Here is a 15118-nt window from a genome sequence, read left to right as displayed (position 1 = left end):
TAACACATCAAGATTTGGGGAAATGCTGACAATTCCACATCCTGGTTCAATACCCAGCTGCTGAACTTAATTTCCTACAAACTAAGAAAATTACAAATTATCCTATGACCAAATTATCAAGAACTCTGTCTATATTTATATTTGTATTCCCACTACATTCCATGTTAATAAGCTGTTGGAAAAGCACTGCTGAACTGAACAAACCCTTAAGAACCTGCCTGCCCTTCCTAACTGGGCTCTTCGTATCACCCCCCTCACATAACCTTTCAGAGTGATGAGCCCAGGAGCCAACCTGGCTCTGCATTTTCTATGTGACCCAAAACTATATAAAATGTTACCAAATGACATTTCTGCCATTCTGCTTACTTCATTTACAGAATTCAAACAAGTATAATGAGCAAGGTCTTTTCCTCCAAATTTTCTTTTTTTTTTTTGAGACGGAGTTTCCCTCTGTCGCCCAGGCTGCAGTGCAGTGGCATGATCTCGTCTCACCACAACCTCCACCTCCTGGGTTAAAGTGATTCTCCTGCATCAGCCTCCTGCGTAGCTGGGATTACAGGTGCATACCACCACACCCAGCTAATTTTGTATTTTTAGTAGAGATGGGGTTTCTCCATGTTGGTCAGGCTGGTCTCGAACTCCTGACCTCAGGTGATCCGCCTGCCTTGGCCTCCCAAAGTGCTGGGATTACAGGCATGAACCACCACATCTGGCCCCAAATTTTCAAATATAATAAAATCAGAACACATCAAGAAAATAGAGCATACGTAAGTCCAGGCACGATGACTCAGTACTTTGGGAGGCCAAGACAGGCAGATCACCTGAGGTCAGGAGTTCGAGACCAGCCTGGCAAAAATGGTGAAACCCTATCTCTACTAAAAATACAAAAATTGGCCAAGCATGGTGGCGGGCACCTGTAATACTAGCTACTCGGGAGGCTGAGGCAGGAGAATCACTTGAACCCGGGAGATGGAGGTTGCAGTCAGCCGAGATCATGCCACTGCACTCTAACCGGGGCGACAGAGTGAGACTCCATCTCAAAAAAAAAAAAAAAAAAAAAAAAAAAAAAAAGAAAGAAAGAAAGAAAGAAAAAGAAAACAGAGTATATGCAAAACAAAAGCCAGCAAGGCGGAGTGGCTCATGCCTGTCATCCAAGCACTTTGGGAGGCCGAGGCGGGGGGATCATGATGTCAGGAGATGGAGACTATCCTGGCCAACATGGTGAAACCCCGTCTCCACTAAAAATACAAAAATTAGCCGGGAGTGGTGGCGGGCACCTGTAGTCCCAGCTACCTGGGAGGCTGAGGCAGGAGAATCGCTTGAACCCAGGAGGCGGAGGTTGCAGTGAGTCGAGATTGTGCCACTTCACTCCAGCCTGGCAACAGAGCGAGCCTCCGACTCAAAAAACAAACAAACAAAAAACAAAAAAACCCAACTAATCTCAAAGCAAAAACCCAATGTGTAAAAAACAGAATTCTTAGTCTCTATTATAAGAGTCTTTCTAATAGTTATGTAGTCTTAGGCTATGCCATCCACGATTTTGACTTGAGGCCAAATTGATACTTTCTAGTAGACGTGAATTTTATGTTTGTTTTATCCCAATTCCTCTGACAGACCTAGCTTTAATGTAAAGAGATGAATTTGAGGAAATGAGTCACAATTTTTCAGAAATTGTTTACCCCCAACTTTAACACCTGCTGTGGACTGAACTGTTTCCCCCAAAAAAGGTATGTTCAAGTCCTTACTCCATTACCTGTGAACATTACCTTATTTGAAAACAGGGTCTGTGAAAATGTAATCAAGTTAAAATGAGGTCATACTAGATTATCAGCCACCTAAATTGGATAAGAGACTCTAATTCAATGATCTGATGTCCTTATAAGAAGAGGGAAATTCACACAGAGACATGCAGGGGAGAATCCCACGTGAAGACAGATGCGGAGACTGCAGTAATGTACCAATGCAAGCCAAGAAATGCCAAGTATTGCCAATAACCACCAGACGCTAAGAGTAGGGCATGGACCAAGCTCTCTCTCAGAATCTCCAGAAGGAACCAGCCCTGCCAACACTTGGATTTTGGACTTCTGGCCTCCAGAACTGTGAGAAGATACACTTCTGTTGTTAAAAGCCATCCATCAAAGTTTGGGGTACTTTGTTGTAGCATCCCTAGGAAACAAACACAGCACCTCTGACTTCCTCCCCTACACCTGATGAAACTGCATTTCTTCTCGTGCAACTTTTATCTTAGTAAATAGTACACAGCAGCTGGGCACGGTGGCTCACGCCTATAATCCCAGCACTTTGGGAGGCTGAGGCAGGAGGATGGCTTGAGCCCAGGGGTTTGAGACCAGCCTGGACAACACAGGGAGGCTCCATTTCTACAAAAAAATAAAAAATTAATTGGGCATAATGTCACATGCCTATAGTCCAAGAGACTCAGAAGGTTGAGGTGGGAGGCTCGTTCGAGCCCTGGAGGTCAAGGGTGCAGTGAGCGATAATCACACCCCTGCACTCCAGCCTGTGCGACAGCGAGACCCTGTCTCAAAAATAAAGCATGTAACTGAGAAGAAAGAAAAGGGTTGGTGTCAGCATCAGAAGCATGACATATTTAAGCTTAGAAAGGGATTACCTAACCTAGTGTTGTTCAAATATGTCTCAAAGTAGTAGTAGCCAATGCTACACTACACAGGTTAAGGTGGGACAGGTGAGGAGCAGGGGATGGCCAATACCCATCACCTTGACCCCTGGCTCATGCCTTAAGTACCTAGGCTCTCTATAGTTATTTTATTCCTTGTTCATTTAATCAACATCTGAGCACCTACTCAGCATCAAACACTGCTTTCACAACATGAAAAAGCATAAGCTAAGCCAAACCTCCCATTTCATGGATTAAGAAATTTAGACAGGTATTTAGGGTCTCATGGAGAGTCAAAACCAGGGCCATCATGTATGTGCCCTATCTCCAAAGCTGGTGCCCTTTCTATCATACTATTCACTCCTCGTTTAACTTGTAGCCTTTCCTTCAAACATTTTTATGTCTCTCTTTTTTTTTTTTTTGAGACGGAGTCTGGCTCTGTCACCCAGGCTGGAATGCAGTGGCGTAATCTCAGCTCACTGCAAGCTCCACCTCTCGGGTTCATGCCATTCTCCTGCCTCAGCCTCCCAAGTAGCTGGGACTACAGGCGCCCGCCACTGTGCCCGGCTATTTTTTGTATTTTTAGTAGAGATGGGGTTTCACCGTGGTCTCGATCTCTTGACCTTGTGATCCGCCCGCCTCGGCCTCCCAAGGTGCTGGGATTACAGGCGTGAGCCACCGCGCCCGGCCTTTTTTTTTTTTTTTTTTGAGAGGCAGGGTCTGGCTCTGTCACCCAGGCTAGCTGGAGCACAGTAGTGCAATCATGGCTCACTGCAGCCTGGAATTCCTGGGCTCAAGCAATCCTACCACCTCAGCCTCCCAGGTAACTGGGACTATGGGCATACACCACTACACCCAGCTAGGTTTTTTTTTTAAGAGATGGGATCTTGCTATGTTGCCCAGGCTGGTCTCGAATTCCTGGGCTCAAGCGATCCTCCTGCCTTGGCCTCCCAAAGTGCTGGGATTACAGATGTGAGCCACCACACCCGGCCCTCTTTATACATTTGTTGAGGGTTAAAGCGAAGTCTTTTTCCCTGCATTTAGCATATCATATCCTTCTTAAAGTTTTTAGTTTGGCCATTACTGTTCACTGTCCCAACAGGCCTGGAGGCATTTTGAGAAGATGACAGGCCTGAACCTCAAGACAGAGAGAAAATGGCAACCAGCTCTGACCCCACTTTAGCCAATGGCAAAATGCAGGGTGCTACCTGATCTTTTTCAACGTCATCTTTTGCCCACCCTGGCAAGGCCTAAGTAAGTTCCAGTCAGAGGAGCTTCAGTTTCCATGACAGTTTCTATCTCATGGCTTTGGAAAAAACTGTTAAAACACTGCTCTTAAATGTGCAAGTGTGTTTTTTGGGAAATGAAATAATAAAATACAGAGGAAAAAAGTATAATGTCTAAAGAAAAAACAATCTGCCTGATACTACACTGTTATAGCTACCAACATATTAAAAAGAAGTCGACGTGCTGCATGAGGAAGGCTCTCCAACTGACTGTTGTCAGTAAATGTCCCAAAGTCTGTTCCTATGAGATGATCAGGACAGAAGGCAGTGCCAAAGGATGCTGACTAACATAACCAAGTGACCAACATATAAACCAGAAAACCAAGAATGGAAACGAAGCCCTCCCATCACGGTAGCTAAGGCCACTCAAGGAGCCTACTTGAACATTCTCAAAGACACCCTACGAGCTCAGAAAGAGCAAAAGGAAGGTAAGATATTCTTATGGTAGTTTTACTAAGTGAAGATTACAAGCTGAAAGAAAACCGTGTGACCAAACTTTTAAGGGCCATAAGAGTCACCTTCTTGCACTAACTGTGTCAAATCTTATAAATGTGTGCTTCCTTTTCTACTATCATGATTGATTCCTCAGATAGGCTATGTTAGAGCTTTCTTTAAACAGGTGGCATGAAACTCACTTAAAAAAGAACAATATGGTCGGGTGTGGTGGCTCACGCCTGCAATCCCAGCACTTTGGGAGGCCAAGGCAGGCAGATCACCTGAGGTCAGGAGTTTGAGGCCAGCCTGGTCAACATGGCAAAATGCTGTCTCTATTAAAAATACAAAAATTAGCCAGGGGTGGTGGCACACACCTGTAGTCCCAGTGACTTGGGAGGCTGAGACATAAGAATCGCTTGAACCCAGGAGGCAGAGGCTGCAGTGAGCTGAGATCGTGCCACTGCACTCCAACCTGGGTGACAGAACAAGACTCTGTCTCCAAAAAAAAAAAGAACAATATAGGGAAGGATCTCAATCCTATCCTGATCCTACAGACCATCTCCAGGACTCGTTCACTTCTACGAATAACCAATTCCACATATTACATATTAATTAGACCTAGTTTCTGATACTTTCCTTTTACTCAAGTTCTAATCAAATTTTAGTGCAGCTCACTTACGCACAAACCACACCTCTCATCATCCTCTCCTCACCCAGTCCACACCCTCGCTGGCTCCTCCGCTGGCTGCTCCTCCTCTTCCCAGCTTTCCAGGCTCTGCCCTTGGACTTCTCTATTTCCATTCGCTTCCTCCACCAGTGCCTTCAAGAGCAAAATAATGCCAGTCATATATGTAATTAAAATTTTCTAGGCCAAGTGCAGTGGTTCATTCCTGTAACCCCAGCACTTGCGGAGGCCAAGGCAAGCGGACTGCATGAGAGCAGGAGTTTGAGCTCAGCCTGGGCAACATAGTGAGACCCAGTCTCTACAAAAAAAGTAAATTAGCTGGATGCAGTGGCGCATGCCTATAGTCCCAGCTACTCAGGAGGCTGAAATGGGAGGACTACTTGAGCCTGGGAGACCAAGGCTGCAAGAAGCTGTGAATGTACCACCGCACTCCAGCCTAGGTGACAGTGATGTCCTAGCTCAAAAAATAAATAAATATATTTCTAGTAGCCATATTAAAAAAGAAACAGGTGAAATTAACTTTAATATGTTTGATTTAACCCAGTATATCCAAAATAATATCACTCCAAATATAATGAAGGTAAAAATTAATGATATATGTTACATTGTAATTTTTCACACTGTCTTTGGCATCTGGTACATAATTGACACAGCGCATCTCAATTCAGATTAGCTGCATGCAAAGTTCAAAAGCCACATGTGGGCCGGGCGCGGTGGCTCACGCCTGTGATCCCAGTACTTTGGGAGGCTGAAGCAGGCGGATCACAAGGTCAGGAGATCGAGATCATCCTGGCTAGCACGATGAAACCCTGTCTCTACTAAAAAATACAAAAAAATTAGCTAGGCGTGGTGGTGGGTGCCTGTAGTCCTAGCTGCTCAGGAGGCTGAGGCAAGAGAATGGCATGAACCCGGAAGGCGGAGCTTGCAGTAAGCCGAGATCATGCAATTGCACTCCAGCCTGGGCGACAGAGTGAGACTCCATCTCAAAAACAAAACAAAACAAAACATGTGGCTTGTGGCTGCCTTATTTAACTGCGCAATCTGGCTTACCTCTTCTAGTCCCATGATTATAAATACCACCTATGCAGAGACTGCTCCATCCTTTCCCTCTACCCTGCTTCTTTCTCTTTAATTCCAGAACTCTAATGCTACCAAGCTACTAGACAAGGAGATATCTGACTGGCATCTCAAACTTATAACATGTCTAAAGCCAAACAACACAACCCTGAATTCTCACCACCATTACCCTTGCCATGACCTTCCCCATGTCAGTCAAGGGCAACCCCACGCTATGATGGCTCCTCCTCGCACATCCCACATCTCGTCCATCAGCAAACCCTCTTAGGTGTACCTTCATCATGGATGCAGAACCAAGGCCTTTCACTTGCTCTCCTCTACCCCTCGAAATGCTCTGCTCCTCAGGTATCTCCACATCTTTCTCTCTTCCTCTTCAGGTCTCTGCTCAAGTGTCAACAGAGGCTTTCCCTGTCCACCACATACGATGCAACACCCCATCTTTTGCTCTGTTTTTCCCCTTGGCACTAATTTTCACTTCACATATGCATCTACTTGCTTATTTGTATTATCAGTCTTTCTACCCACACCCACCAGGACAGGACCGTGTGCAGCCACTATGAAGGTGCCCTGCTCAGATCACCCTTCAAGAGAAGCTGCTACAGGAAACTAAGCTGACAGCCTCAAGTTGCTACATGTTCAGAACCACAACAGCACTGACACCAAGCCATGCTTCCATCAGGCTGCCCCCAACTAATGGTTTAATCCGAAAGGGATAACAGACTCAGGCCTTTCTGTCCGGTGCAGGATGCACAGCTTCAGCATGAGAATTCCCCATCAGCTTGGTCAAGACTTTCTCAGAACTGTACAGTGACCTGAGGCTGTTCCTAGCCACTCTTCCTCTCCTCTCTTCACGGGAATCCGACCAAGTGGAAGTCAAAAGGCTCTTCCTACATACTACTCCTGCTTCCTCTCGCCTTACCCTTAATTCCCCCAATAAACCTCCTGGATGTCTAATCCATCCTGGCATCTGTACCTAGCCCAGTGTAGGCAGTCAACAAATACTTTATGAATGAATAGATCTCTAGGTAGAGTAGGGAAGCGGAAAGAACATGAACTTTTAAGTTGGAAGGACGGAAGTCTGGGCTCCTGTTCTGCCATATATTACCTGTGACCACAGGGAAGTTTTTCGGAATCTCTCTGAGTTGTAGCTTCCTCATTTGTAAAATGACAACCATCCCATCTCTCTCAGAGTTCTCAGGAGGCTTACATTAAATGGTTTATCTAAGGTCCCTAACACAACGCCCTAACAGATTAGAACGGTTAACCAGTGTTAGCTCACTCTCCCCTTATCCATTTTCTGTAGCTACTTCTAAGAATCCTTAGCCCTTTTACTTCACCAAGAATTCTGACCACTTTTTAAGAAAGCACCAAATAATCCTAGTGAATCTCTTATTCAATTGAACCTGACTGATGAATAAACTTTATTTTCATTTCTGACTCGCCTATGATGAGCTTAAGGTTTTACTTCATTTTACAAGGTGAAATCTCAGAGATAGCTATCTTAACACTGAAACTTAGGCTGTTTCGCTAAAGCTTCAAGTTAAGCATACTTTTTCAAACACAAACCAATACAAAATCTAAAACTACAGTTCAGTACCAACTTCTTAAGGCTAAGTTTTTTAGAGCCTCTATGTTCTGAAAGTCTGTAGCATTCGTGATCCATTATGGAGTTTTTCAGGAAAATACATACTGACTCTGTGTGGATTTCAAATAAACAGTTGTTTTTTAATGGCTCAAGCATAATATGCAATGTTGTTTATATACACATTCTAAAAAGTCCCCAAGTGGATAAACTAATGGTAATTACTTAATTAACTAATGGTAATTAGTTAATTAGTTAACATTAGGTAATGTTAATGGTAGTCACTCACAGGGAACAGGATTAGGAGATGAGAGGATGAGGGGTTCTTACTACGAGTTTTTATGAAGTCTTCATAGGACTGGCTACATAATTTGTGGGACCCAGTGCAGAACAATAATGTGGGTTCTGAGTTCAAAAATAACTAAGAATGGCCGAGCACGGTGGCTCATGCCTGTAATCCCAGCACTTTGGGAGGCTGAGGCAGGCGGATCACGAGATCAGGAGATCGAGACCATTCTAACATGGTGAAACCCCGTCTCTACTAAAAATACAAAAACATTAGCCGGGCGTGGTGGTGGGCACCTGTGGTCCCAGCTACTCAGGAGGCTGAGGCAGGAGAATGGCGTGAACCCAGGAGGCGGAGCTTGCAGTGAGCCAAGATGATGCCATTGCACTACAGCCTGGGCAACAGAGTGAGACTCTGTCTCAAAAAAAAAAAACAAAAAAAAAAAAACCTAAGACTATCAAGACTACAACAGCAGATCACTGAAGCAAGCAAGGGCCCTGTATGATGCAATTACAGGCTCATAAAGCCAACCCTGTGCCTTTATAAACTTTATGAGCTTAATATTCTACATGCAATATAAAAAATCTGTGCTTAATTGTATGAAATTATCTCACAGGACTACTTCAGAAAACAAAACATCCGGCCTTAACAAAAGTAGTAAAACTAATATAGCCACCAAGAAAATTTTTAACATGACAAATGATTATTCAGAGTAGTTAGAAACTTGTTGGTCAATTTTTTTAAGGCTGCTGAGAGTAAGGTGGTTACTCATGAAAGTTCACTAAGACATATGTACAAAAATGTTTACTGTAGCACTGTGTTACAAATAACAAAAACCTGGAAACTCTTCATATCAACTAGTTAAATAAATTCAGGCACCTTCACACAAGGTAATACTAGGCATATTAAAAAAAGAACATGGTAAAGCAAATCTGTACCTAAAGTAGATCTGTGTATTAGTCTGTTTTTGCAATGCTGATAAAGACATACCCAAGACTGGGTAATTTAGAAAGGAAAGAGGTTTCATTGACTTACAGTTCCACGTGGCTGCAGAGGCCTCACAATCATGGCAGAAGGCAAGGAGGAGCAAAGTCACCTCTTACATGGATGGTGACAGTCAAAAGAGGAGAGATTATGCAGGGAAACTCCCCTTTTTAAAACCATCAAATCTCATGAGACGTATTCACTATCATGAGAACAGCATGAGAAAGACCTGTCCCCATGATTCAATCACCTCCCACCAGGTCCCTCCTACAACATGTGGGAATTCAAGATGAGATTTGGGTGGGGACACAGCCAACCCGTATCAATCTGTATGTCTGATATGGAAAGCATTCCAAGATACAAAGTTTAGTGTTTGTTTAAATAATGACACAAGAACACTCTTTACCATGATTCCATTTTTTAAAATTTATCTGTGGTCTTCAAGGCAAGATGAATACAGGATAGGAAGGGAGATGAAGAAAGAGACTTATTGTTCATGTTAAAAAGTCGGCTTGAGTCCAGGCATAGTGGTTTACGCCTGTAATCCCAGCATTTTGGGAGGCAGAGGCAGGAGCATCGCTTGAGTTCAGGAGTTCCAGAACAGCCTGGGTAACGTGGTAAAACCCCATCTCTACAAAAAATTTAAAAATTAGCTGGGTGTGGTGGTGCATAACTGTAGTCCCAGTTACTCAGGAAGCTGAGGTGGGAGGATCAATTGAGCCTGGGAGGTGGCCAAGGCTACAGTGAGCCATAATTGTGCCACTGCACTCTAGCCTGGGTGACAGAATGAGACCCTGTCTCAAAAAAAAAAAAAAAAAAAAAAAAAAAAGGCTTTATGACAGCTACTTGTATTCCAATGTTTTGGCAAATCATACAAAACACATACTTTAACAAGTTTAATTTAAACTTTAAAGTATATAAAAACAGGCCAGGCACGGTGGCTCATGCCTGTAATCCAACACTTTGGGAGGCCAAGGCGGGCGGACTGCCTGAGCTCAGGAGTTCGAGACCAGCCTGGGCAACATGGCAAAACCCCATCTCTACTAAAAATACAAAAGATTATCTGGGCATGGTGGCACACACCTGTAGTCCCAGGTACTCAGGAGGCCAAGGCAGGAGAATCGCTTGAACCCGGGAGGTGGAGGTTGCAGTAAGCCAAGATTGTACCACTGGACTCCAGCCTGGGTGACAGAGCAAGACTGCCTCAAAAAAAAAAAAAAAAAAAAAAAGTATATAAAAACAAGAAACTCCTTCAGATGGTACTGGCAAAAGATTAACAAAAGTAGAATCAGGACTCAATTATCTATGATGGTAACTAACCAAAGAAAGCAGTGGCAAGGAAAACAACCAAAGAAAGAATTAAAAACATGTCTACTCTATTTCAACTTTCTCTCCATTAAAATATTTAGGGAAAATGCTAGCAAGGAGCAACATACTAATCAGACATCTAATAAAGGGCTTGCCTGGCATGGTGGCTCATACCCACAGTCCCAGCACTTTGAGAGGCCAAGGCGGGAGGATCGCTTGAGGCCAGGAGTTTGATATCAGCCTGGGCAACATGGCAAAACCCTGTCTCTACATAAAAAGAATAAAAATTAGCCAGGAGTGGTAACATGAGCATGTAGTCCCAGCTGAGGCAGGAGGATCACTTGAGCCCAGGAGGTCCTGGCTGTAGTGAGCTGTGATCGTGCCACCGCACTCCAGCCTCGGTGACAGAGTGAGACTCTGCCTCAAAAAAAAAAAAAAAAAAAAGACCTTTTTTAATTAAAAAAAAAAAATTAAATAAAAAAAGGAAGGGCTTGAAAAAAATCTCCAAACTGGGTGAACAATTCTGAAATAATTACTGCTGGTTTTCCCTATCTTCTCCCTATTCAACCAGGGGCAACACTGAGGAAGAGACAGATATGGAGAAAGCCTGGCAACAGGTAAGCACTTAGGGAAGATGTCAGAAACAGAAATCTCAACAGTCATTCCAAATACCAAAGAGGAAGTTTCTACTGCTTAATGTATATTAACAAGATGTAAGATTAAAGTGAAAACATTCGCTTTCCTGAAAATAACATACTGTATAGTGTAAACTTTGACAATTTCTATTTTCCACTCTTTTTTTTTTCTTGAGACAGGGTCTCGCTCAGTCACCCAGGCTGGAGTCCAGTGGTGCAATCATGGCTCACTGCAGCCTTGATCTCCTGGGCTCAAGCGATCCTCCTGCCTCAGCCTCCTAAGTAGCTGGGACTACAGACATGTGCCACCACACCTGGCTAATTTTTAAAATTTTTTTGTAGAAACAGGGTTTCACCATGTTGCCCAGGCACATCTCAAACTCCTGGGCTCAAGTGATCCTCCCACCTCGCTTTCCCAAAGTGCTGGAATTATAGGCAAGCCAGCATGCCTGGCCAATTTTCCAGACTTTCTTAAGCCATATGCAAAAAACCTGCTCATCTACAGACAGGTTTGCCTGTCTTCAGAATAATTTAGGACCACCATCATGAATCTGTTTATGCAAAAGCCCTCTCCAACTCAGTCACAAAATTAATGAAAGAACGTAGATGCAAGTTGAAAATGAGATGACTGGCCAGGCACGGTGGCTCACACCTGTAATCCCAGCACTTTGGGAGGCCGAGGCAGGAAGATCATGAGGTCAGGAGTTCAAGACCAACCTGGCCAACATGGTGAAACCCCGTCTCTATTAAAAAATAAAAAATTAGCCGGGCATGGTGGCACGCACCTGTAATCCCAGCTACTGGGGAGTCTGAGGCAGGAGAATCACTTGAACCCACGAGACAGAGGTTGCAGTAAGCCAAGATCACGCCACTATACTCCAACCTGGGTGACAGAGTAAAACTCAGTCTCGGGAAAAAAAAAAAAAGAAAAGGCCGGGCATGGTGGCTCAGTCCTGTAATCCCAGCACTTTGGGAGGCCAAAGCGGGCAGACCACGAGGTCAGGAGATAAAAACCATCCTGGCTAACACGGTGAAACCCAGTCTCTACTAAAAATACAAAAAATTAGCCGGGCGTTGTGGTCGGGCGCCTGTAGTCCCAGCTACTCGGGAAGCTGAGGCAGGAGAATGGCGTGAACCCAGGAGGTGGAGTTGGCAGTGAGCCGAGATCGCGCCACTGCACTCGAGCCTGGGCGACAGAGCGAGATTCTGTCTCAAAATAAAAATAAAAAAAAAAGAAAGAAAATGAGATTTTTTTCTTTACACACACACCAGAAATAAATATGTGAACACTGTCATAATAAACTAGCATATACAATTAACCAGTGTATCCAACCACTAGTGTCGTCTCCACCTATTCAAATTAATAGCTAAAAGCTGCCACTTACTGAGCACTTACTATATGCTGGGCCCTGTTCTGAGTGTGTCACGTGGATTCACTAAGTTCTCATACAAAGTTATTCCAACTCTATCCTCCTCCTCCTGAAATCAGAGACTGTAAATTTTGAGTTAATTCAGTCAAACATTTAACAAATGAGTACTATGTAAAAGACTATATTGCACACTAGAGGAAATCAGAAATGATTAAGATTTTCCTCTACATCTCTCAAGGAGTTTATAATCCAGGAAAGACCTTCATGTATATAAACTAAAAAGTCATAAGGAAAAAATAGATAAGTAGAGGTATCAGGCTAGCACTGTGTGGGAGAAAAATAATGAGTTAATTCTGAAAATCAGGTTACAGAAATAGAAGTAGCAGCATTTAAGCCAAGACTCCAAGACTCAGAAAGAGAGAGAAAGGTGGAAAGGATATTTCAGAGTAGTCTGCCAATAACGGAAGTGGCCAGAGGTCTTGTGTTGAAATATAAGGTGACAAGAAGAGATGCAGGCTGGGCGTGGTGGCTCGTGCTTATAATCTCGGCACTTTCGGAGGCCAAGGCGGGCAGATTACTTGAGCCCAGGAGTTTGAAGCCAGTCTAGGCAACAGAGCAAAACCCCATCTCTACAAAAAATTAGCCAGGCGTTATGTGCCTGTAGTCCCAGCTACTCAGGAGGCCAAGGCAGCAGGAGGAAGGGAGGTGGAAGTTGCAGTGAGCCAAGATGGCACCGCTGCACTCCAGCATGAGTGACAGAGTAAGACCCTGTCTCAAAAACACAAAAACGAAAAAGAAGAGATCCAATAAAAGATTAAGCTAAAAGTAAGAATGAGGCTAGATAGCAAAGATCTTACAGTGATTTCCTAACTCTTTAACATTAATTCTCAACCAGGGGAGGAGTGTGGTAGCACTTCCAAGGTAAAAATCTTGGGAGGAGAAAGCCCATAACCTTACCAACAAAACTGTCGTATCCCTCAGGTGTGATGGAATAGAGGGAAATGTTGAGAACCTCTGGTGTATACTTGGGAAATGGGTCATGATATGATTTGATTTGCCTATTAAATAATTCTGGCAACAGAACAGAGGAGGAGAGACCAGAAAAAAGAGAGGCCAGTTGGAGGACTACAGTAACTATCTTCATAAGGAGTAAGAGCTTCAGGGAGGGTAGGGGCAGAGGAAACATGAAAGAGTAAAGAAAAAGACTGATGGAAAAGACTCATGGAGGCAAACCTGGTAAAAATCTGGTCAAGAAAGGAAGTCTCTAAAGGTTTCCAGGCTGGGTAACAAGTAGGACAAAAATGCTATAAAGCAAAACATCTGATTACCTTGTATCTGTGTAAGGATGTGCAGTACACAAAGCATAGCCTCTTTAAATGTACTACAAAGCAACAGGAATAACCGTTCTCAGTTCCCAAATAAAGACTGACTGACTTCCAAAGGGATTTAACAAACTTGTTCACGGCCAAGAAGCAAACCTGAGTCTTTCAAATCCAGTTCTAATATTCTTTTAAGAAGCCCCCTCAAACGCAATTGCTTTTGATGCATATAATAAATTTCTAAAAAAGAAAACTTTTAAAGAAAAAGCATGTAATCTCTTGGGAATTAAATTATACTTCAAATATAAGGATTTTTTTTTTTTTTTTTTTTTTTTGAGAGAGCCTTGCTCTGTCGCCAGGCTGGAGTCCAGTGGTGTGATCTTGGTTCACTGCAACCTCCACCTCCCGGGTTCAAGAGATTCTACTGCCTCAGCCTCCCAAGTAGCTGGGACTATAGGCGTGCTCCACCATGCCCGGATAATTTTTGTATTTTTAGTAGAGATGGGGTTTCACCATGTTGGCCAGGATGGTCTCACTCTCTTGACCTCATGATCCGCCCGCCTCGGCCTCCCAAGGTGCTGGAATTACAGGCGTGAGCCACCGCGCCCGGCCAATACAAGGAATATTTTTAACCTTGTGCTCTGGTTCCCTCTGCCCAAAAAATGGGTCGGTGATTCACAGTCAGCAATGCAGGCACTTCATCTATTTCATTAGACCCTACAAGTTTAGATACAAATGGGAAAGATGACAGTTTTTACTTTGTATAAAATACCACTTATGTGATTATGTGAAAGACCAAAAATAACTGTAAAGAAATATTCTAAATAGTAACTATATTCAACATAGTAAAACTACATTTCTAATGTTGTTGTGGGCACCGATGTTTATTAAAAATACTTCATCTGGGTCTTGTGCGGTGGCTCATGCTTGTAATCCCAGCACTTTGGGAGGTTGAGGTGGGAGGATTGCTTGAGCCCAGGAGTTCGAGATCAGCCTGGGCAACACAGGGAGACCCGTTTCTACAAAAAAACAAATTGTTTTAATTAGCTGAGCATGGTGGTGCATGCCCGTGGTCCCAGCTACTCAGGAGGCTGAGGTGGGAGGATCACTTGAGCCTGGGAGGTTGAGGCTACAGTGAGCCACGATCACACCACCGCACTCCAAGCCTGGGTGACAAAGCAAGATGCTGTCTCAAAAACAAACAAACTTTATTTGCAGACTTAAGCCAGGGTCAGAAAAAATAAAAATAAATATACTTTATAATATTAACATACTCTTTAAGGTTGATTACAGACTTTGACTTTATTTAGCAAACATTTAAACACTTACATTTAACATTAAGCACTTATGTTTAAACGCCTGAGCAAGGTGTTGGGGGCAAAATGATAGGATAGACACCACAGCCAGAGTTTACTATGACCAATTTATAATACAACATGATATAGACAATAATGAAGGAAAAATAGAGAACTATGATTGAGGAAAGGAATAATTCATTGTAATAGGACTTCCAAAG

At 43.5% G+C, this 15118-nt stretch overlaps 1 protein-coding gene across 20 annotated transcripts in view; it reads right to left on the bottom strand.

Annotated features, from left to right (window-relative positions):
• Nucleotides 1-15118, bottom strand: part of KIAA0232 — a 101438-nt gene that overhangs the window by 83050 nt on the left and 3270 nt on the right. For 9 of the 20 annotated variants that reach the window (XM_047416450.1, XM_047416446.1, XM_047416453.1 and 6 more), the window contains one exon: nucleotides 5070-5176. The exons of the other annotated variants lie outside the window; for them this stretch is intronic. The gene's annotated coding sequence lies outside the window, so the exon portion shown is untranslated. The remainder of the gene's footprint in view (nucleotides 1-5069; nucleotides 5177-15118) is intronic. 20 annotated transcript variants of the gene reach the window in all.

Source organism: Homo sapiens, chromosome 4 (assembly GCF_000001405.40).
Source record: "Homo sapiens chromosome 4, GRCh38.p14 Primary Assembly".
In the NCBI taxonomy this organism is placed as follows: domain Eukaryota; kingdom Metazoa; phylum Chordata; class Mammalia; order Primates; family Hominidae; genus Homo; species Homo sapiens.
This window is presented reverse-complemented; position numbering and strand designations above follow the sequence as displayed.